The sequence below is a fragment of the Homo sapiens genome, chromosome 13 (assembly GCF_000001405.40).
Source record: "Homo sapiens chromosome 13, GRCh38.p14 Primary Assembly".
Classification (NCBI taxonomy): Eukaryota; Metazoa; Chordata; class Mammalia; order Primates; family Hominidae; genus Homo; species Homo sapiens.
Window position 1 is genome coordinate 75,389,076 of NC_000013.11, and position 23,518 is coordinate 75,412,593.

The 23,518-nt window shown below is 39.0% G+C and overlaps 1 protein-coding gene across 10 annotated transcripts in view, besides 2 other annotated features; it reads right to left on the reverse strand.

The window, feature by feature from the left end:
- Window positions 1-23,518, reverse strand: part of TBC1D4 (TBC1 domain family member 4) — a 198,667-nt gene that overhangs the window by 105,573 nt on the left and 69,576 nt on the right. Inside the window, exon 1 of one of the 10 annotated variants that reach the window (XM_006719903.4) lies at window positions 13,826-21,566. The exons of the other annotated variants lie outside the window; for them this stretch is intronic. Within the exon in view, the coding sequence (XP_006719966.1) occupies window positions 13,826-13,849 (24 nt within the window). The 5' untranslated portion in view covers window positions 13,850-21,566. Of the gene's footprint in view, window positions 1-13,825; window positions 21,567-23,518 lie in introns of those variants that run through there. 10 annotated transcript variants of the gene reach the window in all.
- Window positions 2,341-2,390: an enhancer, noted in NCBI's record as "active region_7825". NCBI's record gives its function as "activates an Ori minimal core promoter by ATAC-STARR-seq in GM12878 lymphoblastoid cells {active_cell/tissue: GM12878}" and the evidence as "EXISTENCE:reporter gene assay evidence [ECO:0000049][PMID:35858748]".
- Window positions 6,252-6,301: an enhancer, noted in NCBI's record as "active region_7826". NCBI's record gives its function as "activates an Ori minimal core promoter by ATAC-STARR-seq in GM12878 lymphoblastoid cells {active_cell/tissue: GM12878}" and the evidence as "EXISTENCE:reporter gene assay evidence [ECO:0000049][PMID:35858748]".

The window sequence follows — 23,518 nt, forward strand, 5'->3', positions numbered from 1 at the left end:
TGCTCACTAAAATAGTAGCTATTGCTGCCCATCATCTATTCTGGGTTCAAATTTTTTGCATGTGATTGTTTTTTAAAAATAACAGACCTACTGCAATATTCCAGACTTTTCTTAACCTGTCATACTTAAAACAGGACGGCACTCTGCTTACTTGATTCCAATATATTTCCAGGAGTATTCATTCTACAGACTGATCATGTTCATATTAATGAGCTAACCTGTAGCCAAAAATGAATTATAAACAGCCTTGAAAGGAGATTTTGGAAAAAAAGACAAAACTATTCATCATACTGTCTCTGTTTCAGATTAAAGTTAGGCCACAACCACATCTTTTTTCTGTGTACTTTTATTTAATTCTGAGGCTACTATTAGTTTTTTTAATGTACTTTGCTTCTTCAGAAAAGCACTGTAAGTAGAAACAGAATAGTTTGTAGAAAAGCTTGGTTTTATTTAACTATTGTATCTCCAGAATTGGTTTTAGTTTTTGTTATTTTTTAATGACAAAATAATAATTATGAGAAACAGTTAATTAAACTGGTTAAATAAATAAAATAGAAGAAAAATAATATTTTGACCAATTAAATATTGCCATAATGTTAGGAAATCATTTTGATAAAATTAGTCATATGAATTATTACAATTTATAAAAATAACTACAAAATCACAACCAATTATGGTACTGTGGTTGGCTACTGCACACAGTACAATATCAGGCATCAACACGATTGTGCTAGTCAGATGTGGACAAGGACCAGCAGACAATGTTGGCAGAAAAGGCCAGAAAATTTACAAGTTAAAACACTAAAGATGGTAGGAAATTCTCAGCAAACCAGAAGTCTGGGCCCTACAAGTAACAGAAACAATAAGTACTGAAGACAGGTAACTAAACCAAAAATTTAAAATGAAAAGGTCAGAAGAGGCTGGGCATGGTGGCTCATGCCTGTAATCCAAGCACTTTGGGAGGGCGAGGCAGGCAGATCAGTTGGGGTCAGGAGTTCGAGACCAGCCTGGCCAACATGGTGAAACCTCGTCTCTACTAAAAATACAAAAAAAAATTAGCTGGGCCTGGCGGCGGGCGCCTGTAATCCCAGCTACTAGGGAGGCTAAGGCAAGAGAATCTCTTGAGCCCAGGAGGCAGAGGTTGCAGTGAGCCAAGATCGCGCCACTGCACTCCAGCCTAGGCGACAGAGAGAGACTCCGTCAAAAAAAAAAAAAAAAACAGGAGAAAGAAAAGAAAAGAAGTCAGAACAGAGATTAAATTGACAGTCAGGTCTCAATGGTCAAGAGGTCTGGGTCCAGGAGATTAGGTACAAGACTACATCCAGAGTGATTAGGATGTGGAATCACCTAAAAATAGGGCTTACACCATGGCTGCTGAAGAGTATTCTCAAAGGTGCTAATACTAATTTCTGACACTAACAGACTGTTTCACTGACACCTTCAGCAATTCACTCACTTACAGATTCCCATTCTCATTTAGTAATGGCAGCCCCAGAGTTAAAACACAAAGATGAAAGGGAACTGGAATCTAACGCTCTGCCTTGCTAACAGTAATTCCTCAAGACTTGGAATGATGGAAGCTTAAGGATGCTGCATGTGACCTTCAAAGAGATTTACAAAAAGACCAGAAAATAACAGCAAACTTCAAGGAATATAAGGCAGCAATTGTCAAAAGAGAAAAACCTCATCTTTCTCTTCTATTTAGTGCGTGAAAATCATGTTGTATGTATAGGTATTTGTGTGAGGATGGATAGATAGATAAGGAAGGAAGGGAGGGGAGGGGAGGGGAGGGGAGGGGAGGGGAGGGGAGGGAAGGTGAGGATCTATATTATCTTTGGATACATATCCAAAGAGAGCTTCCACAAGTTCTGACCTTCACATCTAACTGTGCTTACACTATGCCTTCTTTCCTGATACTATGCACAAACACACTAGCTAAGGCCACTTATTCCCCCACCACACACACACACACACACACACACACACACACACACACACAAACAACTTGTATATCAGATGTCATGGCCTCCTGCACACTTAAGACACTGCTGTAGCAGTTCTCCCCTCTCTCTTCTACAACATCAGTTTTTCCTTCTCTACTCTATCCTCCCCATCAGTTTACACACACACACACACACACACACACACACTATTTTTATCTCTCATCCTAAAAGAATTCTTTTGACCCCACTTCCTTTTCTAACTACTACGCCAATTCTCTCCTCCTAGATGCAGTTAAACTCCAAAAGAGTTGCCTGCATTTGCTATCTGTGATTTCTCTCCTCCCTTTCCTTCTTGAACCCATATAACATCAGGCAATTACTCCCGCCACCCCAGCAAAGCAGCCGGTATGACTGCCACATTGCTAAACCCAACGGTTAATTCCCAGTCCCTATCATATTAGACCCATGGAGTACATTTGACAGAAGAGAGCACTTCCTCAACTTTGACATACTTCTTTCACTTGGCTACCAGGACACTTCACTGTGCTAGGTTTTCTCCACTTCACTGGCTCTCCTTCAGACTCCTTTTCTTATTCCTTCTCATCTCTCAGAACTCTAATCCTTGGGGCTACCCAGGGCTCTATGATTGGCCCTTTCCTCTTTTCTATTTACACTTGCTCCACTTAGTCATTTCATGCAGTCTTCTGGTTTACAAGACCCTGCACCATCTGATGCCCTACTCCCTCTCTGAGCTCCTCGCCTGCCACTCTCCCTTACTCAGTCCACTCCAGCCATGTGGCCTCCTGACTGCTCCTCCACAGAGCAGGAGGCTTCCTCCTGTGGCCATGGAAGTCCTGTCCCTCTCTTTAGATCTTTACTCACCTGTTGTCTTTCCAGTGACAACTCCATTGGCCACACTCACTGAAACCCTCTCTCTCGCTTTCTCTCATTCTTTTTCCAGTCTTTCATCATTTCTTTTTCTCAGTCCTTCTCTTCCTTTCTCCCCAACCCCTTTCCTGTAAAATTTTTATCCTAAGCACTTCTCACCACTTAGCATGCTATAATATTGTACTTTTTTATCTTTTTAATGTCTGTCTTCCCATGATAAAACAGAAGCCCTATAAAACCAAAGATTTTCAACAAATATTTGCTGAATAATTAAACATATAAATATGTGTTGGATAAATAACCAAAAGGCCGTATTTTAAAATGCACACAAAATAAATGCAAAAATCACCCTATTTTAAAGTTCAAACAGTATGTTCCAAATATTAGTATATCCTCCTTCTCACTTTATTTCTACTTCCTTACCAGCATTCATTCTCCATCACACCCCTCAGCTGATCATTTCCTATATTTCATTTATTCTCTAGTCATCTGAAAGAAGAGAAGACCCTCACAGCAGACAATCCACTTTTAATTCACTGGCACTTGCAAGACAACCTCACATCAATGTTCTCATGTGCTCCTCATTCCACTTTAATATCGCACTGTCCCTCCTTCTGTCCTCTCATACACTGAAGACATTTTCCTTTCCTTTTCCTTTTCTTCTTCTTACTCTTTCCGTTCTTCCTCCCCCTCCCCTTCTTCCCCCTCCTCCTCCTCGTCCTACTTCTTCACCTTCTTCTTTTTTAAGAGACAGAGTCTCTCTCTGTTCCCCCAGCTGGAGTGCAGTGGCAGAATCACAGCTCACTGCAACCTCGAATTCCTGGGCTCAAGTGATCCTCCCACCTCAGCCTCCTGAGCAGCTGGGACTACAAGCATGCGCCACCACACCAGCTAATGTTTTTCATTTTTGTTTTTGTAGAGATAGGGTCTCGATATATTGCCAGGCTTGTCTTGAACTCCTAGCCTTAAGTGATCCTCCTGCCTTGGCCTCCCAAAATGCTGGAATTACAGGAGTGAGCCACTGTACCTAGCCTTTTTTCTCTGATTTACAGTTATTCCTTTCATTTTGCTGAGCCCTTAATCCATCTCTATTTTGCTAGAATTCCAAATCCTACAGTATACCCTTCCTTATGTAGACCTGCAGTCATTTCTTCTCTATGGGCGTCATCTCTTTTGTAATGTCAAAAAATACATAAATTTAAATTAAAATACACACACACACACACACACACACACACACACACACACACTCAGTCTTTGTTTGCTCTTACTACTGCATTTGGTTTTGTTTTTTCCTTCCTTTTGCTACCAAACTCTTTAAACAAGAGGTAGATAGTCATCTCTTAGACACTGCTAACACCCTTACATTCACACATTTCACCCCCATTCTCCCAGGCTGGTCTCTGGAATATTACATTTAATCATCATTTCAGTAGAACAATTAATACTGTCTCAGTTCTTAATATTTATATAATAAAAATTGTATGGGACATATTGTCTGCCAGGCTCCGCTCCAAACATTTTACAAGTCTGAATGGATGGTGAATATCCTTTGCCGCATTCGATCCACCAGATAATATTCTACCCACTCATAGCCACTTGGCTTGCTATGCACAGGCGAGACCTACAAACAGCAAATTTTTCAGTGCAACAATACAGCGGTTTAGAGTTACCCAGACCTGAGAAATTTGTAGGTTCCACATTCTTGGGGAAAAATTTTTTAAATGATATAAAAAAATCTTTGGCTGGGCACAGTGGCTCATGCCTGTAATCCCAGCACTTTGGGAGGCCAAGGTGGGCGGATCACCTAAGGTTGGGAGTTCGCGACCAGCCTGACCAACCCGGAGAAACCCCAACTCTACTAAAAATACAAAATTATCCAGGCGTGGTGGCACATGCCTGTAATCCCTGCTACTCTGGAGGCTGAGGCAGGAGAATCGAACCAGGGAGACGAAGGTTGCAGTGAGCAGAGATCGTGCCATTGCACTCCAGCCTGGGCAACAAGAGCAAAACTCTGTCTCAAAAAAAAAAAAACAAAAAAACAAAACTAAACTCTTTCTTGAGTAATACAGATATTTATTTTCTTAGAGGAAGAATATGAGTCAGTCTATCAGAATGATTTGGTTTCTGAAAATGCCTATGTTAATTGCTTTGAAATATGGATTATGTAATATGACTTGGTAATTATAATCTCATATATACAGCTAATAGCTACAAAGTGCTTTTCAACTACTGTTGATTCTTACAATTACCTTATAAGACAAGAGAAATATAATTAACTTAGAGAAAGAAAAGTCATGACACTAGTAAACAGAGCTGATATGCAAACTCAGATATTTAAAACAAGCTTACTGTCATCTCAGACCCATTAATTTTGAGCTCAAGTTCATATTCATTTTACTTCCTCATTTATTAACAAAGATTTAGCAGAACCATAGTTTAGATTCCACAGATTTACAATCTAGCCATAACCGTTGTGAAGTCTAAAAAGGAAACGACATTATTAAACACAAGAGGTCATCAAAAGAATTGACAATCATGGAAAGAACAATGGTCATTTTGGCTATGTATTAAATCAGATCTGCCAGATGTTTCAGCTGTATAATTTTTGTTTAATTTTAAGGAAAACACAGAAAAGAAAAAGAATGCTCAGAACCACCTACAAGCCAAATACTTGCCAAAATATAAACCTTATTATTAAATAGCAAACATAAATATATTTTATATTTCAAATACAATAGACGCTAGATTTGCGAATCTTTAAAAAAATTAAAAAGTATGTGGTTAGCTGTTTTGTTCATTCATTTGTTCATTGTTACTTCTCAGTATAACGTGCAAATCAAATATATCCTTGGCAATGATTCTGAGCACTGCAAATAATGTTATTGTACTTTCAATACAGGAATATTGTGTAGATTTAAGTTAAAGGGAAACAACAGGAACAGACTGTAGCCAATTAATTTCATTCAACAAACATTTATTGAGCAACTGCAATGTGCAAAACCTTGCTACAATTTGACAGAGCATACAGGTGAGGTGGGGTGCAGGATCACTGCATAGAGAATGCATTCAGTATAGAAGGTACCAAGTATAAAAATAACCATTTACAATAGGAGTATAGGCACTAAGTACAGAAGTATGTTTGCAGGCAGTGTGTGTGAAATCAAAAAATATTTATCCAATTAGAATATATGTTCTAAAAAGAATGCTGCCATTCCTTTGTGTTAAAGGAGGCCTGAGACAGACATGGTAGGACAAAGGTACAAGTTACCTGAAATGTACTGGTTGGTAACTACTCAACAGTGGATAAGGGTAGGCATAAAACAGATATATCTACTGCTACTTCCTCCTTAGCAACTCCTCACCACAGACGCCGTGCCTCTTTCTGGTATATCTAAACAGGAACAAACATGTACAAGACTCAGTTCAAACTAGAAGGCCCTTTTCGCGAATGTTTTTTAAAGTGAGTGGTAAACTGCAAAAGTCACAATATGAGATCCATTCCTCCAACGTTCTAATACCATAATCTGTATACAATCAAAGGCTATTTATAAAGATTCCTGGTATTTCTCTATGAGTTGCTGGAAACAGCAAAATCATAGTTTATGAAGTTCACAATCCAACAGTGAAAATAAATGATACGGCTAGGCACGGTGGCTCACGCCTGTAATCCCAGCACGTTGGAAGGACGAGGCAGGTGGATCACCTGAGGTCAGGAGTTCGAGACCAGCCTGGACAACATGGAGAAACCCTATCTCTACTAAAAATACAAAATCAGCCAGGTGTGGTGGCGCACACCTGTAGTCCCAGATACTTAGGAGGCTGGGGCAGGAGAATCACTTGAACCCGGGAGGCGGAGGTGGCAGTGAGCCGAGATCGTACCACTGCACTCCAGCCTGGGCAACAGAGTGAGACTCCATCTCAAAAAAATAAATACATAAAAATAAATAAATAAAAGAAATGATACCTTGGTAAGTATCATGGCTCCACAAGCAGTAAGTTGTTGTGCCCCTCCCATTTAATTGGCTGGCTTGTTTAAGCCTCTTTATTTATAAGCAGGATCAGGTTGGTTCTGCAACCCATTGGCTCTGGACTTCCTCAACAAAGTCCCTCGTTTTTCTCATGACCTGCTATTAATGTAGCTCCTGCTTTCACACAAGGTGTTCCACAGGCTTATTTCACCTGCTTATAATTTATGTAAGGGGTAAATGTTTAATCCAGTTTCCTTCATTAAAACCCACAAGCTGCAAATTTCACATCTCAACAGACGTAGAAAAAAATCAGTCGGCCTCCCAGACAGTTCCATTCATTATACTAAAACAATAAAGCATATTTTTATTCCAGCCACGAATGCTGTTAATGGAGTTTATATCTCAACCTTTATTGTCTCAGCAGCTGTTTCAAAGAAGGGGCAACAGAACTGACTTAAAAAGCACCACTAGCCAAAGGCCTAAAATATTCCAGATCTTGTTGACTATGTTTTTAAAAGACAAAGCTGTCCTGAAAAGTTTTAAGTAATCCAACTTTATCTCACCAGGGAAAAAGTAAAGAGATTCTTAAATAGGGACTGAAAGGTGTAGATATTTCGGAAATTTTACAGATTTTTCTAAAATAGGCATATTGTATTTGTGTCACAATAATGATTTCCTAATAAAGCCAGTTAAGGAGAATTTCACAAGTTTGTCATCTAGTATAATTAATTATCAATTTTTAAAACCCAATAACTAATGTCTGAATGTAATTCCTAAAATTCAAAAATATTAATAAGAAAAAGAAAAAAACAATGATGAAGCAGGAATATAAGATCAGAAAACAAATTTGGGGAAAACAACAGAAACAAGTAATCATACACCCTTAAATGTATTTACAGCATCCTTAGGGAACAACATTCTGAGCACTTGAGTATTTCTTTGCCTATGACACTGAAAAAAATTATGATTAAAGAATAGACATTTTCAGATGAGAAAAAATTCAGAGATTTTACACATAAAAGCATTTTAGAGAGCTTACTTAAAGATATGCTGAAGCAAAACAAGAGAGTAAAATAAGAAACAGGAAGCCATACAATCTAAGAAATAGAGAATCCAACCTTGAGGACACATTGCCATCAGTCCCAACTGAAACAGGACAACTGAGGGCCCTAGCTGAGGAGGATCTAGGAAATGAATGGATTTCACAGGTTAATTAGTATGCTTGAGATGTTAGAAGAATTTAAGGGTCTGATTAAAGCAGAGAAGGCAAGAAAAAAAAATGGTAAGCAGAAACTCCAGGAAAAACAAAAAGCTGCCAAACAAAAAAGTGTAGTCATGGCACAGTGACTCTTTAGTGAATATTTACACAGTCATATTAGCATAAAACCTTTAGTCCAGTAATAATCAACTCCCAAAATCAACTTACAAAGCATAAATTAACTATGAACACATCACGATGTGATGATATCAATTTAAACAACACAAAAAATAAAGGGCAGATACCAGAAACTATAAAGTGGAAGCAGAGGAAAAGAGAAGGAAAGGCAGTAGAACTAATACAGAATGTAAGGGATACTCTCTGTAGCTGAAAAAGAGAAAACTGAGATAAATGGTAGAAAATGTGAAAACAGTAATATAATTATATTGTGTGGAGACGGCAAGGAGAGAAAAGATAAGTCAGTCTACAAAGCTGACAGGTCTTTCTTTTCCTGTTTGGCTTTTTGTTTTTGTGTTTGTTTTGATTTGCTTTGCTTTTTTGTTTTGTTTTGTTTTGTTTTTCATTTGTTTGTTTTGGAGTTGGCTTCTCTGAAATGTAAAATGAAGCATGACCTTTCCCAGAAAACCCAGTTCAAGGGAATAGTATCATAATCTACCAATGCTAAACCAGAAAAACCTAGGAATTACCCTCGTATAGTAGACTAGAGATGGCTACAAATTATTCGTAGTTTTCCCACTGAAAAGTGATACTATCTGCTTCCCTGGTTAGGTGGCTGCTTTGATTAATAGAAGCAATTAAATGAACATTTTGAGCTCTTCAAGCCGAGGTACTAAGGCTTGGCTACTTCCACTTTCCTACTCTGAAAATATCCAGCAGCTATAACAAAAGTCATGACTACCATAAGACCACCACGCTGTGAGGAAGGCCAAGCTTGCAGCATAGAGGCCAAATGGAGAGAAAGAGATGCCTGGCCAGCCCCAGGTGTTTGAGCCACTCAGTCAAGGCTTCACACACAAGAGGGAAGATCCTACCTTGGACGTTCTAGTCCTGGCAGATGCCATGTGAAGTAGACATAAGCTGTTCTTACCAAGGAGAATTCAAATTGCAGGGTACTAAGTATATAAACGTTGTTATCATTTTAAGCCACTAAGTTTGGAGGTGGTTTGTTACGCAATGAACAAGACAAAAATCAGAATCTAGAAGTGGGTGCTGGCATAAGAAAATCTAAAACATGTGGAATTGGCTTTGGGAATGGGTTTTGTGTGGAGCCTGAAGGGCCTCGAGGAAATGGCTAGTGGGTCTGAAAGTGGGAGCTGCTAGTGAGGAAACGGCTACTGAAGGCGGGACAGAAGAAGATACCAGCTGTGAACTGGCAAACAATGAGGAAAACTGTTGTAATGTACACAACAGAGAGAGTATCTAATGAACTTGGGGGTCAACTTAAGAGGATTTCCCAACAGAAAGCTGGAAGTATAACTGGCTTCCTTTAACTGCCTGTGATAAAGTATGGGAGAAGCAAGACAAGCTAAGAAAAGCAGAAATCAGAGGGAATATAAAGGACCCAAAACGTTATGGGTCCAAAAGTAAAGCTACTTCCATCTGCAGTCCCTCTCAGCAAAAGATTTTTACAGTATAAAGTAGCCTCAGGTCAAGGACCAAAATAGGGCTCTGACAGTAAAAAGGACCCATGGTTAGTATCAAGAAAGTAAGACTCCTTTTTCTTTCTCACCTCAAAGATCTGAGGACCTGTCTCCCAGACCCACTTATCTAGACAAGGGGGTTTCTAAGACTTTAAGGGGCTGTCCCACAGCAACCTGACACCCAGCCTAAAGTAGAGAAGAACCAATCTTATCTTCAAAGATATTCTGGGTGTGACTTTTCTCAAACAGAGTAGACTGTAATTTGATATACAGAAAGTTCTTAAAATTTGGGGGTACTACACTAGCTTAGAATAAATGAAATTAGGCGGGCGCGGTGGCTCACGCCTGTAATCCCAGCACTTTGGGAGGCCGAGGCAGGCGGATCACGAGGTCAGGAGATCAAGAATAAATGAAATAAGATCTCCCAAAATAAAGGAGGCCTCCAAACCCCCAAACTTCTATAGGCAGGAAGCATGCTAAAAAAGAGTTGGCTGCAAACATCAGCTGTTTCTTACTGGAATGGAGGGACAACACAGAGGATGGAGCCAAAAATCACAGAAAATCATTCCCAATGAGAGCTGAGGCTGAGAATTGGCTGAATTTCAGAACTGCTATGGACCAGTACCTGTTCTACAGTACTGTAACCAACTGCCCCACATCCATTTGGAACAGGGGTGTCTACTGGGCTTATATCATCCCCATATTCCTGTTTTATATATGGGGGGCTGGGGGACAAATAACTTGTCCTTTTATTTAGTTCACACACCTCTGCAACTGAGAAACCACACCCAACCCACCTTATCTACACCCCCACGTGATTTAATGAATGCAATTCTGGTATCTGAGTCGGAGCCTGATGCTATAATGAGCTGAGACTGCTGGGCATCTTGGGAGTGAGCAACTGTGTTTTGCCTTTGAAGAAATGTAAATAATTTGTGGCCAGAGGGCAGACAGTGATGGATTAAATATGCACCCATAAATTCTTTGATGGGAGCTATTTCCCTTCTTCTTGAATGCAATCTGGCCCTGTGGCTGCTCTGACCAAAAGAATGTAGCAGAACTAATGTTCTGGGACTTCTGCACCCCAGTATGAAGAAGGCTAACAGTTTCTACTATTGAGCTCTAGGGAAAAGCCAGCCACCATGCAGGAAGTCAGACTACCAGGAGACTGACATGCTGTAAGGCAGGTCATGCTAGCGTTGGGGAGAGACCAAAAGGAGAGCCATTCCCAGCCAGCCCCTAGATGACACCACAAGGTCAGCCGAGGCACCACCCAGTAAAGAAGCCATCCTGAAAATTCCAGCTCTTGCAGACACTATGTGGAGTACAGATGAGCCATCCATCAAGCCCTGCCCAAATTGCAAAATAGTGGGCAAATAAACAACTGCTGTTGATTTAAGCCATTAATTAGAAAGGTGAATTGTTATGTACCCTAGAAAACCAAAACACTTCATTTCTCTCCCTCCTTTCACCCCATCCTACCACCAATATACAATCACTAAATCCTATTTCTCTTCCTCTTTAATATTGCTCTAACCAGCCGCACTTTTTTTCCACTTCCACTGTTTACATGGTTCCCATCATTTTTTGCATGAACAACTCTCAGTAGCTTCCTAATATACCCATTCACCCATTTACCACCGCCACTACTTCCAATACACCCCATTCTCCAAATCACAGTCAAAGTGTTCTTTCTAAATACAAACCTAACAGTAAATTCATGCTTTTTTTTTTTTTTTGAGACAGAGTCTCACTCTATTGCCCAGGCTGGAGGGCAGTGGCGTGACCTCAGCTCACTGCAACCTCCACCTCCTGGGTTCAAGCGATTCTCCTGCCTCAGCCTCCCAAGTAGCTGGGACTACAGGCGCCCACCACCATGCCCAGCTAATTTTTTGTATTTTTTTTTTTTTAGTAGAGACAGGGGTTTCACCGTGTTAGCCAGGATGGGCTCGATCTCCTGACCTCGTGATCCACCTGCCTCGGCCTCCCAAAGTGCTGGGATTACAGGCATGAGCCACCACGCCCAGCCACATCCATGCTTAAAATCAGCACTAGCTCTCCAGCACACACACATAGAGTGAAATTCCTCACAAGGACACACAAAGCTTTCCCCCATATAGCATCGATCAGTTCTCCAGCTTCATGTGCAACCATCACCCATCAGCAATGAGCACTCCAGAGAAAGAGAAAGTCTCACAGGAAAAACCCAGAACAAGTTTCTAGACTCTAGATGCATATATGCTGTCACTAATTAACCACCTGACCCTGGACAAGTCACTCTAAATAAACAAGCTTTAGTTTCCTTTACATAATATTAGTGTTAGACCAAAATGAGATGATCTCTTGATCTCTCATCCATCTCTAATATGCTGTGGTATCAAAATGCTTTCAAAAATGAGTCTGAAAACAAGGAAAATATTTTCAAAAAGGAAGTTCTACATACTCCCCTTCTCCCTGACCCAGCTCTACCCTCAAGCTTGTGTGACAGCTTGTTTCCAGGATTAGTTCTCTTACTTCTTTTTAATTTCCCCCTTTCTTCCTCTGAAGTCACAGTATCTCCAAACCCCAAATCTCCCACAATCATGGGGGATTGCACAGTGGTGGTGAATAACTGATTCAATTTGTCAGTAAGAACTGTTTTTGCATCAGATATGTCAGTCAAGGTCCACCCACATAACTATCCTTAGTCAATGCCTGATACTACATGACCTTGGCATTAAGCAGCTTTTTCAATAGCTGAAAATAACGTATAATCAGAAAGCACAGAGGACTTCACCTTCACAAAAGAACAGCACAACCTATTCTTTCCTATCAAGAATTATGTACAAAATAAAAAATATAATACTCTGGCAATAAGAAATTCTCTTTTTTAGCAAGAATTAACAGAATATACAGATTAATCTACATTTTCTCACTCACAGAATGCAGTAGGTTTATTCTCCAGATAATGAAGATGCTTTGGGGTTGATTTTTGTTGTTGTTGTTCTTGTTGTTGTTAGCTACTGGAGAATAAAGGCAACAAGTTTTAACTAGTTTTAGAATGTATCTATCAACCTAGAAACCATAGGAAAAGCTACACTGTAAACTCCATGGAGACAGACCCTTTTTCAGTCCTGGAGACTGGAACATTTGTCAAATGAATGAAGGAATGTTTCAATTAACAGAAAATGAACATTAAGCAGTGAGGAATTATTCAAATCATGAAAACCTGTGGACTTTTGCTGAAGTGAACACTTCAAACACAAACTCTGCTTGGAATCTCCTGAAACATGTAGATCTTGAGCCCTTCCTCCTGCATCTAATGCAAAGCTGTATTAACTGAGCTCTATGTACACTGTAGGATGTGTACCACCCACCAAGGGTGCCCTAAAGTCAAGGATGAACATGGCACAGATTCTAGTAGAATGATTCTGACTTATAGACTGGAGAGTGGGGGGGTTAAATCATTTTACTGCCAAGCTTTTAAAAACATCTTTATATTAAAATACATAAGATATATTATCAAATAAACTAAAATCTGAATTACTTCTTAATATACAACAAGGTGTCAAAGTAATTTAGAGCTTGTGGCAGACTTAAAAGGGTTTTGTCCCCCATCTCCCCGGGGATACACCTTCATTCTTCTATGCCGCAACTTAAGCTTTCGTTGAAACATGCCAAAGGACTGAATAGAACATTTCTCCATTCTTTCAATATAAGAACTAACCAAGGTTTATAATAATGATTCTGGTATAATAAATACTTCCATTCTCAGGTAATAGCTTCAAAAAAAAGGATAAGAAATTTTAAGTTGAGCAATCTGAAACATTCTCCATTTAAAAGATCATTTGTCTACCCCAATCTATACATTTTACTTGGTACATACACTTTTACTTTAAAAACAATTTCATTTTCCATGTGGTCTTCCATCCCTAGTAAACACACACACACACACACACACACACACACACACACACACACAGTATCATGCATTATCTGTGATGAAAAGATTTCTAACATCATTTTGTATAAATATTTTAATTCAGGTTAGTACAGAAAAAAAGGTATAATTTATAAAGAAGGTAAAAGTAAGAGAGATATGAGAGACTTTTTAATATCTAAAAATAGACACTGCCTAAGCACAAAAAGCAAAAATAGAGCTCACAAGGAGATTAAGTTACATACACAAGGTGTCTGAACATCTTCCATCCCCTGTCAAAATCAGAGGAAGCTGTGAAGCCTGCCAGCCATCAGGCCCGGGTTAATGAGTTCCACAGTCCAGTTTCACAGTATCTCTGGCATTTGCAGTCATGGGGAAAGAACATGCAGCCCCCGTGCTCCTGGGCCCCTCTCTCAAGAGTCTGTTTCAGGCATGCAGGGCTAAAATAAACCAAACCAGCAGACTGAACTGCCTTTCACCCATGGATAAAGACCTACTCCTGTCCATGGCCAGGTACCAGGAGATCCTGGGTCAATGCATTTTTAATTCCACCGGATCCTCTACTTCACAACATGACTTTCTTTATTTTTAGGGGAAAAGTGTGTGGGGTTTTTGCAGGGGAGAAAGGATTAAGATAATTATTAGTTCTAGTTTCGCAGCTAGCAACAAAATCACTTGCTAACAACTAGTTTTTCATTATTACTAAACAAAATATTTTAATTGTAGGCTCTATTCATATTGCTTAAAGAAATTACATTCTAAATGTTTTGAGATATTCTTGTATGTTAACAGGTAGTTACAAAATGTATTATTTTTGATCTAGCAAATACCTTAAAAAATAAACGCAGGAAGTATAAACAATTTTGTTAAACAACCCCAACATTTCCAAAATACACATGCTGCTCCAAAATAAAGCAAATACAAAGAAAATGAGCTACTCCTTACTATCATTCTGTATTTTCTTTTGATATGAATTTCAATTACATTAGTTTTTATCTTAATAAATTATAATTTTTCCTCTTCCTAGTTGCATTCTACAGGATCATTACAAAAGAATACTTATTAAGTCCAATTTCCCATCTCTGTTTGTGCTTACTATTAAAAGTTTTGTGTTTACTATTTAAACAGCTCAAGAAAACTCACAAGAAAAACACAGGCTCAAGTGGGACAATTAATGTGAACAGAGACTTCTTAAGAGAAGCAGTAAAATAAACCTAATGGAGAAATGCTTACATGTGAACTTCATTAAAGAAATACAGATTAAATCAAGATACTAGTTTTGGGAAAGATTATGATATAAAAGATTATACACAATGCTAGAGAAAGTTCAAGGAAATCAGGTATTTATATATATAGGTGGTGTAACTGTAAATTAGAATAGGCTTTTGTAGGGGGGATATATATACATACACACACACACACACACACACACATCTCCCCAGCAAAGGCAATAGTTACGTGAATCAAAGCATATTCATTCTGAGAAATAGTGAACAATCACTAGATTTTTTAAAAAGATGGCGCAGTAAGAAAAAGCAGAGTTCAAAACTGCATACATAGTATTATTGTAGTACTTTTTAAAAGATGTATTTGACCTTATTTCAGAATAGTTTTAGATTTACAGAAAAGGTGAAGATAGTTGAAAAAGTTTCCTTATAAATCACACCCAGTTTCTTCTATTGTTAACATCCCTCTTCAGTATGGACACCCAAATGTCCTTTTTCTGTTTCAGAATCCCATCTAGGACAACACATTACATTTAGTCATATGTCTCCCTAAGCTCCTCTTGGCTGTGACAGTTTCTCAGACGTTCATTGTTTTTAATGACTGTGACAGTTTTGAGGGGTTCTCAAGAGGCATTTTTTTTAAAAGTTTCTTAGTCAGGATTTATCTGATGTTTTTCTCATGATTAGACTGAGTGATGGGTTTTAGGGAGGAAGACCACAGATGTAAAGTGCCATTTCTAACAACAGATTCAAGAAAAGGCATGAACAAAAAGAAGTATCACAGAATGCTAACAATAATTATATTTGGGTAGCGAGGGACTACGGATAATTCTTTTCTTCTAACTTATCTAAATCTTTTTTTAAGTATTTCACTAAAATCACTTTTTATTACTTTAAAATTAAACACCTAAAGGAAAGCCCTTAAGTTACAGTTAAAAATTGAACAAGAGTAGAACTATGTCCATCTGCTGCTGTCCCCCCTCCACCCATGCAGAGAAATGGGGATGGTTACACTTGCCCACCAGCTGCTGCTTATCCTCTATGACACCAGCAGCCGTGCAATTGATTTGACAGCTGTTAAATGACTTTTAGGTACTGCACATCTATGTGGGCCAGGGGTTGAGAAGGACAAACTATTTGGGTAGGGTTGCAGTTTCCCCTGACATCTTTCTTATGTATGGGTCATTATGTATGTAATACCCTTACTGACACAAAAAGGGAGAATACAGCTCACCAGATCTCAGCTATATGGAGAGAAGACTATGACCTGTTAGGTGAAACAAACCATGTCGCAGAATAGTAAACATATAATTTTTGCAAAAAAATGCAATTCATACATCACAACAAATTATAGGTACGTCTGTGTGTATATATACATGTATATATGCTTTTTTTTTTTTTTTTGGAGAGATGGAGTCTCGCTCTGTCACCCGGCTGGAGTGCAGTGGTGCAATCTCGGCTCACTGCAACCTCCGCCTCCCGGGTTCAAGCAATTCTCCTGCCTCAGCCTCCCGAGTAGCTGGGACTACAGGTGCACGCTGCCATACCCAGCTAATTTCTTTTGTATTTTAGTAGAGACAAGGTTTCACCATGTTGCCCAGGCTGGTCTCGAACTCCTGAGTTCAGGCAATATGCCCGCCTTGGCCTCCCAAAGTGCTAAGATTACAGGCGTGAGCCACTGCGCCTGGTCATATGAATTTTTAAAGTCTAGGGTATGCATCAATCTATAACTTCCTGAAAGGATGAAAAATTGAAAGGGAAGTTATTTTTCTTTTTGTTTTAACTTTTTATATTTTTCTATTGCATAAACTTTACCATGATCATCTTTTATTACCAAAAAAAGGTTGTAAATAATAATGCAGAAAAGCTTTAAGCCAAGAACTCATTTGTTTAAAGAGTTAAATTAACCACTATGTACAAAATAAAGCACAGTTTCAAAGAGTAGACCCAAAAAAATGGAAGTTTGAGTAAACTTCTAGCATGGTGAACCAAGATTATAATCCTTCACTTATCTTTTAAGAATTAAGTGTCATTTTATTTTTTGTCTTTTGTTCCTTTTTAAATTGAAGTTAACTGAAGCTGTCTATATTCCTTGCACAACTCTCTTCCCTGGGCTACCATTATTTTGAGAAGGATGTTCATGACAAGCACTAACAGGGAGAGATGATAGGTTTCTCAGTCATAATTGAATTCGTTCGCTCCGGCCTTTCAAACAGCTGCAGTGTTTAAAAGCATCCAACTGTGAGGGCTACATGCCTTCATGTTTCTTTGTTTTTTAACAAGCTGACTTGACACACATATCTCTAGAGAATTTATTGAGAAACACATCTGAGAAGCCAACCCAGAAGGAAAACACTTAGCCTCTTCACTGCTACTCAGAAAGTAAACACTGGATTCCTTATAATTCTATTATTTACGTACTTTACTTAAAACCAAGATCACTGGGCATCACCCAGATTTGAAAAATGTCCAAGGTACTTAAATTGCCACCCAATTCAACTTCTTCTAATTAAAGCATTGCAGGCCTTTGTTAAAACACAAAAGAATATGCTGTCTTCAACAGACGGCACATTGCATGGTTTTGTCCTTCATTTCAACCTCAGCAACCTTTTCTCCAAGGACATGTTGCAAAACAGAGCACCAAGCAAATGAAACCTCTGACGCTAAGTGTTGGTGAGGATAAGAGGATCGAGAAGGATGGAGCACACATCACAGTGTTGTCATCGAGGGGGCCTTTAGGGAATTCATCTCTATAACATATATAGTTCTATTTACTAACATTTTACGATTCATGTAAGAGTAGAATAAACAAAAGTGATTATTAGAGAAAAGAGAGCTCAGGAAAGATCAGGCAGTTCCCTCCATACCAAATTGGAAAGGTCCTGCATGATTAAACCACTACATGTGCTTTGGTTACCCACAAGCAGGGTTTATGGTAGTTTAATGTACAAAAACGGAATCCAAAGCCTTGGACTTGGAAAACAGACCCAGCACCTAAGGATTAATTAAGGGTCTCTAGCACACTCATTCAGATGCATGTAGGATCTGCATCATTCTGATCAACACCCTAGTATTCATACCCTAGTGAGACCGAAACTTAACATGATAGTTATGTATCATTTCAGGCATTCGTGATAAACTGAGGCATGTGAGACAAGCTGACCAAAGCTTCAGAAGTGTTTCCGATCTGCATGCATAAGGAGGAGAAACTATTCATCCAGCCCCCTCAATGACCATACTGGTAAGTGGGTACCAGCTCTAAATTCTAGCCCACCTCATTCAGGTAGCCATTCATCTCCTGCACATCTACGTTCAACAAACTCAACAGCATTCCAAGAATATTTATCTGAGTGTTTACTAATGCCAGGTTCTGAGTTTAAACAGATTTAAATAGACTAATAGACCAAGAGTTCTTTCAAGGACATTAAAATCTCCAGGACAATATCTTCTGTTTTTGTCAGATCAATTCCCTCCAAATCTCTTCCTCAAACAGCCGGAAAGATTACACTTCTGAATTCTAGGAAGATGGCCACAGCAATGGAAGCAAAATTGTTTGATTTTCCCAAATCTCCACACAAAAACAGAACAACTGATATCAAAACCAAAACCCATGGACAACATTTACAACAAAATTAGGTGAGAAAGTATCCTCTTGAATCCAAAAATAAAAGTGGCTTTGGTACAAACTACATACAAGACTTGCAGAATCTCGGCATCTCTGAGGAAGGATGCAAAGGGAAGCAGCCGGGTGACTGACAGGCCAGAGAACAGATCTACAAGGCAGCCAACAGGTACTCATTGTCAATCATGGCCTGCCCATGGGAGCACAGCAGCTGAAACCACAAGTTTTTCTCTATCCCAGTTAGTGAGTAGAAGTGCCCACAGCAAAGTCTAAGGGTATAAACTCTGGAAACTGACACTCCAGGACTCACATCTAAGACAGGAACTCACACCGACAAGAAACGGCTTGATCAGGAGAGAGAAAATAGAAAAAAAAAAGAAAAGAGATGGTACACATAAAACAGAAATGGGGAACGAGCCGGGAAATCTCAGAAAATAAGCTACCATATTTTTAACAGCTTTATTAATATATAATTTACATACCATAGATTCACCTTTTCAAAGCATACGGTCACTGCTTTTTAGCATATTTACAAAGTTGTGTGACCATCACCATCATTTTCAGCACCCCAGAAAGAACCCTGTACCCGTCACCAATCGCACCTCCATATCTGGACCTTACCCCCTTCCCCCAAACACTGATTTAATTTCTCTATGTATAGATTTAACTATTCTGGACATTTTATATAAATGATGTCATATTAATATGTGGTCTTCTGTGACTGGCCTCTTTCATTTAAGCATTTTTTGGGGTTCATAATGTTGTGGCATGTATCAGTGCTTCATTCCTTTTTATTGCCAGGTAAAATTCCATCATATGGATATGAAACATTTTGTTTATCCATTCATCACGGATGGACATTTGGGTTGTTTCCATTTTTTGGCTATTACGAATAATGCTGCAATGAAAATTCACATACGAGGGTTATTTTTGGTATAAATCTAGGGGGTATTAATGCTGTTTTGATATATGTATGTATCATATAATGGTGAAGTCCAGGCCTCTAGTGTAACCATCAACCAAATAGTGTCATGTATGAGTTTTTGTAGAGAGTTACGTTTTCATTTCTCTTGGGTAGATAACTGGGAGTCGAACTGCTGAGTTAACTGGTAACTCTATGTTTAACCTTTCAAAGAACTGCGAGACATTTACCAAAGTGGCTGTACCATTTTACATTCCCACCAACAGTGTATGAGGATTCCAATTCATCCACTTTCTCATCAACACTTGTTATTATCAGTCATTTTTATTATAGCTGTTCTGGTGGGCGTGAAGTAGTATCTCATTATGATTTTGATTTTCACTTCTCTAATGACGAATGATGTTGAGCATTTTTAATGTGCTTATTGACCATCTGAATACCTTCTTTGGAAAAATAACCATTCAAATACTTTGCCCATTCTTTAATTGGATTATCTTTATTATTAAGTTGTAAAAATTCTGTACATGTTCTGTTTACAAGTTCCCTCTGATATATGATTGCAAACTTACAAGTTCCCTCTGATATATGATTGTGTGCATATATATATACACACACGCACACACACACACACACTCACATACATACATACATAGTTTTTCATAAAGAGTTATTGGTCAGTTACCAGTCTTGCCTTCAAGAAACCTTTTGTTTAAACTTATAATATGAATATATACGTAAGTCTTCACACAATGATATCATATATGTGGGTTTTTAAAAAGGCTAGAAATGTATATACCAGAATCTCAACAATGTTTGTATCACAGTAATGGCTGGTAATTGGCAAATTTTTCCTTTTTGCTCAATTTGTTTTAAAATATTTTCTACAACAAAACCTTTTCTAATTTTAAATTTATATTCATTTTAAATACTGTATGCTCACTCCCTCCCAGATATTTCAACTGACTCAATTTAGAAATAGGAAAGTAATGGCTGGGTTCACGATTAATCTGTTCTTCCATTTCAGTAGCCCATTTCAAATCAAACATTCCATTCCTTCCCAATGTAGATTTATTCACATTAAAGGTTCCCCCCCTCTTCAAAATACCCTGGCTAACAGATAAATTTAAAGTATTGGGTTTCTCTGGAAGTTCTGCAAATTAGTTTAGTTCATTCCACAGTTTGATGCAGATTGACCCTTGGTGAAACTTCACAGTAAAATACACGGAATCTTAAATATAATTTTAAGGAACAAAAACACAAATCTCTTTAATGAATTTATATTCTGCTGTCAACAAAGGCTTTCAAGGAGGCAATAAATGTTCTCTGCAATCCCAGCTTCTCTTTAGACATGTATGTAATTTCAATTAATAAATTTAGCGAACCCTTTGCTAGATAGCTATAAAGGTCCCTTCTAATCTTAGGATGTTAAGATACTAGTGTTAATTTATACTTGCCCTGCTATATCATCTCTGGAGGAAATGAATTCGAATCCAAAATTTCTTTCAAATATTCTGACCCACTTGACAGATGTTGTAAAGGATTTCCCCAGCTTTCAGATTTTTAAATTTGTTCACCAAATTTGTTTATCTTAACCAAATTTGCCACTTACCTTAAAACTCAGTTGCCTGCCTTGTATAAACAAAATAACAGCACTCTCAGAGTATTGTTGTGAGGTTTAAATAAGCTAATGTACGTAAATAACGGTGTATGCTCATGATAATCACTCAATAAATGGTACCTATAATTACTATGTTTGATATATTCACATCACGTCCTCTTTAAAAGCTTTCCTATATTACAGCCATCCCCCTTTTCATTCCAAAGGTTCCTATGCTGTCAGTCTACCGTCTGCTATGGTCTGCCTAACCCAAGCCCATCTCCACACACACAGTAATCCAGGTGCGGACACAGCACAGCAGCGCACAAACGCCAGAACAGTGCTTCTTCTTCTATCTCCTTCTCCTCAGAGCTGACCCTTAAATACCACAGCCCGTCACGCTAATGAATTATGCCCCAAATAAACTACAAGCCAATGAAGACTAGAGGTCAAACTATAAATAAACTCCACACGTGCTGTATTTGCTGAAGAAGTTGGGTCAGGGCACACCACACTACATGATGTGCAGGTCTATATTTGGTTATCAAGAAATTAAACACCTGTCTGTTTTTCAGAAATACCACGTGGACATTAAAAGTAAAAAATAACTACTTTAGAAATACCGAAGGGGAGGCCGGGCGCGGTGGCTCACGCCTGTAATCCCAGCACTTTGGGAGGCCGAGGCGGGCGGATCACGAGGTCAGGAGATCGAGACCATCCTGGCTAACACGGTGAAACCCCGTCTCTACTAAAAATACAAAAAATTAGCCGGGCGTGGTAGCGGGCACCTGTAGTCCCAGCTACTCGGGAGGCTGAGGCAGGAGAATGGCGTGAACCCGGGAGGCGGAGCTTGCAGTGAGCCGAGATCGCGCCACTGCACTCCAGCCTGGGCGACAGAGCGAGACTCCGTCTCAAAAAAAAAAAAAAAAAAAAAAAAAAAAAAATTCTAAGTGCAGACATAAAATATTTTAACTAATATAAAATGTAAGACATTTCACATAGACCATGAATCCACGTGGCTAAAGCTTATCAGGCCACAGAGATAAAAAAGCCGAAAGAACCCAAACGTTACGCCATATATTTTCCAACAAATGGTTTAAACGCTCTTCTCCACAACCGCTCCTTTGTTTTACTGACCTTAGAAGGCAAGCACATGGAAAATATGACAATAACTCAAATTCTAATACTGATGAGAGTTAAATGAAATACATAATAAAATCTTCCCCACCTTATGATATAATGTGATGAAATAGAACTAGTTACCACTTAGTATGAAACAGGAGGGCTTAACGTAAAATCTCATTAATACTATTATTATGTCTGCCTCATGGGCTTTTAGGATTCCTCTCAAACCCACAAACATTTGGAGTAAAGGACATTTCCTAAAATGCTTCAATGCCAAGGGCCATTTGGTTAAAGTGTTTCAAAAAATAATACTGAAATGGTTCTATGAAGCTGTAGTGACAGCCCCAATTTATAGAGTTAAGCAACTACGGGATGCACACAGAGCCTCTTTTTTTTGAGACAGAGTCTCGCTCGGTCATCCAGGTTGGAGTGCCGTGGTGTGATCTCGGCTCACTGCAACCTCTGCCTCCTGGGTTCAAGAGATTCTCCTGCCTCAGCCTCCCAAGTAGCTGGGACTACAAGCACATCACCATATCTGGCTAATTTTTTATTTTTTTTTTTTTTCTTTTTGGTAGAGACAGGGTTTCACCGTGTTGGCCAGGCTGGTCTCGAACTCCTGGCCTCAGGTGATCCACCCGCCTCGGCCTCCCAAAGTGCTGGGATTACAGGAGTGAGCCACCATGCCCAGCCCACGGATGTTTACAGAGCTTCTGAAGACACTTGGGGTTCAAAAAGCACTGCTTCCATTTGCAATATTAACTTTAGTTAATCCCATAAATTTTCATAAGGCTAAGGATGAATCAGTCAGTTTAATAAGATTCACTTACTGAAATGTCACTAGTCTAACTACTACAAATAATAACCAGGCAATTCAAACAAGTTGGGGGGTAGGCCTAGGGACAGCAGTGTTCGCATGTCTGGGAGAAGAAGAGAATCCTGTAAATTATAATGAATAAGAGAGCTTGAAATTTTGTGAGGGCTGTAGAAGTTTGGGCTATACCCTCCCAATTCACCCTAATTTTGCTTCCCCTCACACAAAACACACATCTGAATGATAATCCAGTTTAAGTTAGGTAAGTAACCCCTTTATGGCTTCTAAATGCACAGATGGCCTAAAAGACGTGGGGTTTTTTTTGTTTGTTTGTTTTTCTTTTGAGACAGAGTCTCCTCTATCATCCAGGCTGGAGTGCAGTGGTGCAATCATGGCCCACTGTAGCCTTGACCTCTTGGGCTCCAGTGATCCTCCCACCTCAGGTTCCTGAGTAGCTGGGATCACAGGCACATGCTTACACACACGCATGCACACACACACGGTTATTTTTTTTATTTTTTATTTTTAATGAAGACAAGGTCTCACTATGTTGCAAGGCTGGTCTCAAACTCCTGGGCTCAAGCAATCCTCCCACTTCAGCCTTCGAAAGTGCTGGGATTACAGGTGTGAGCCAC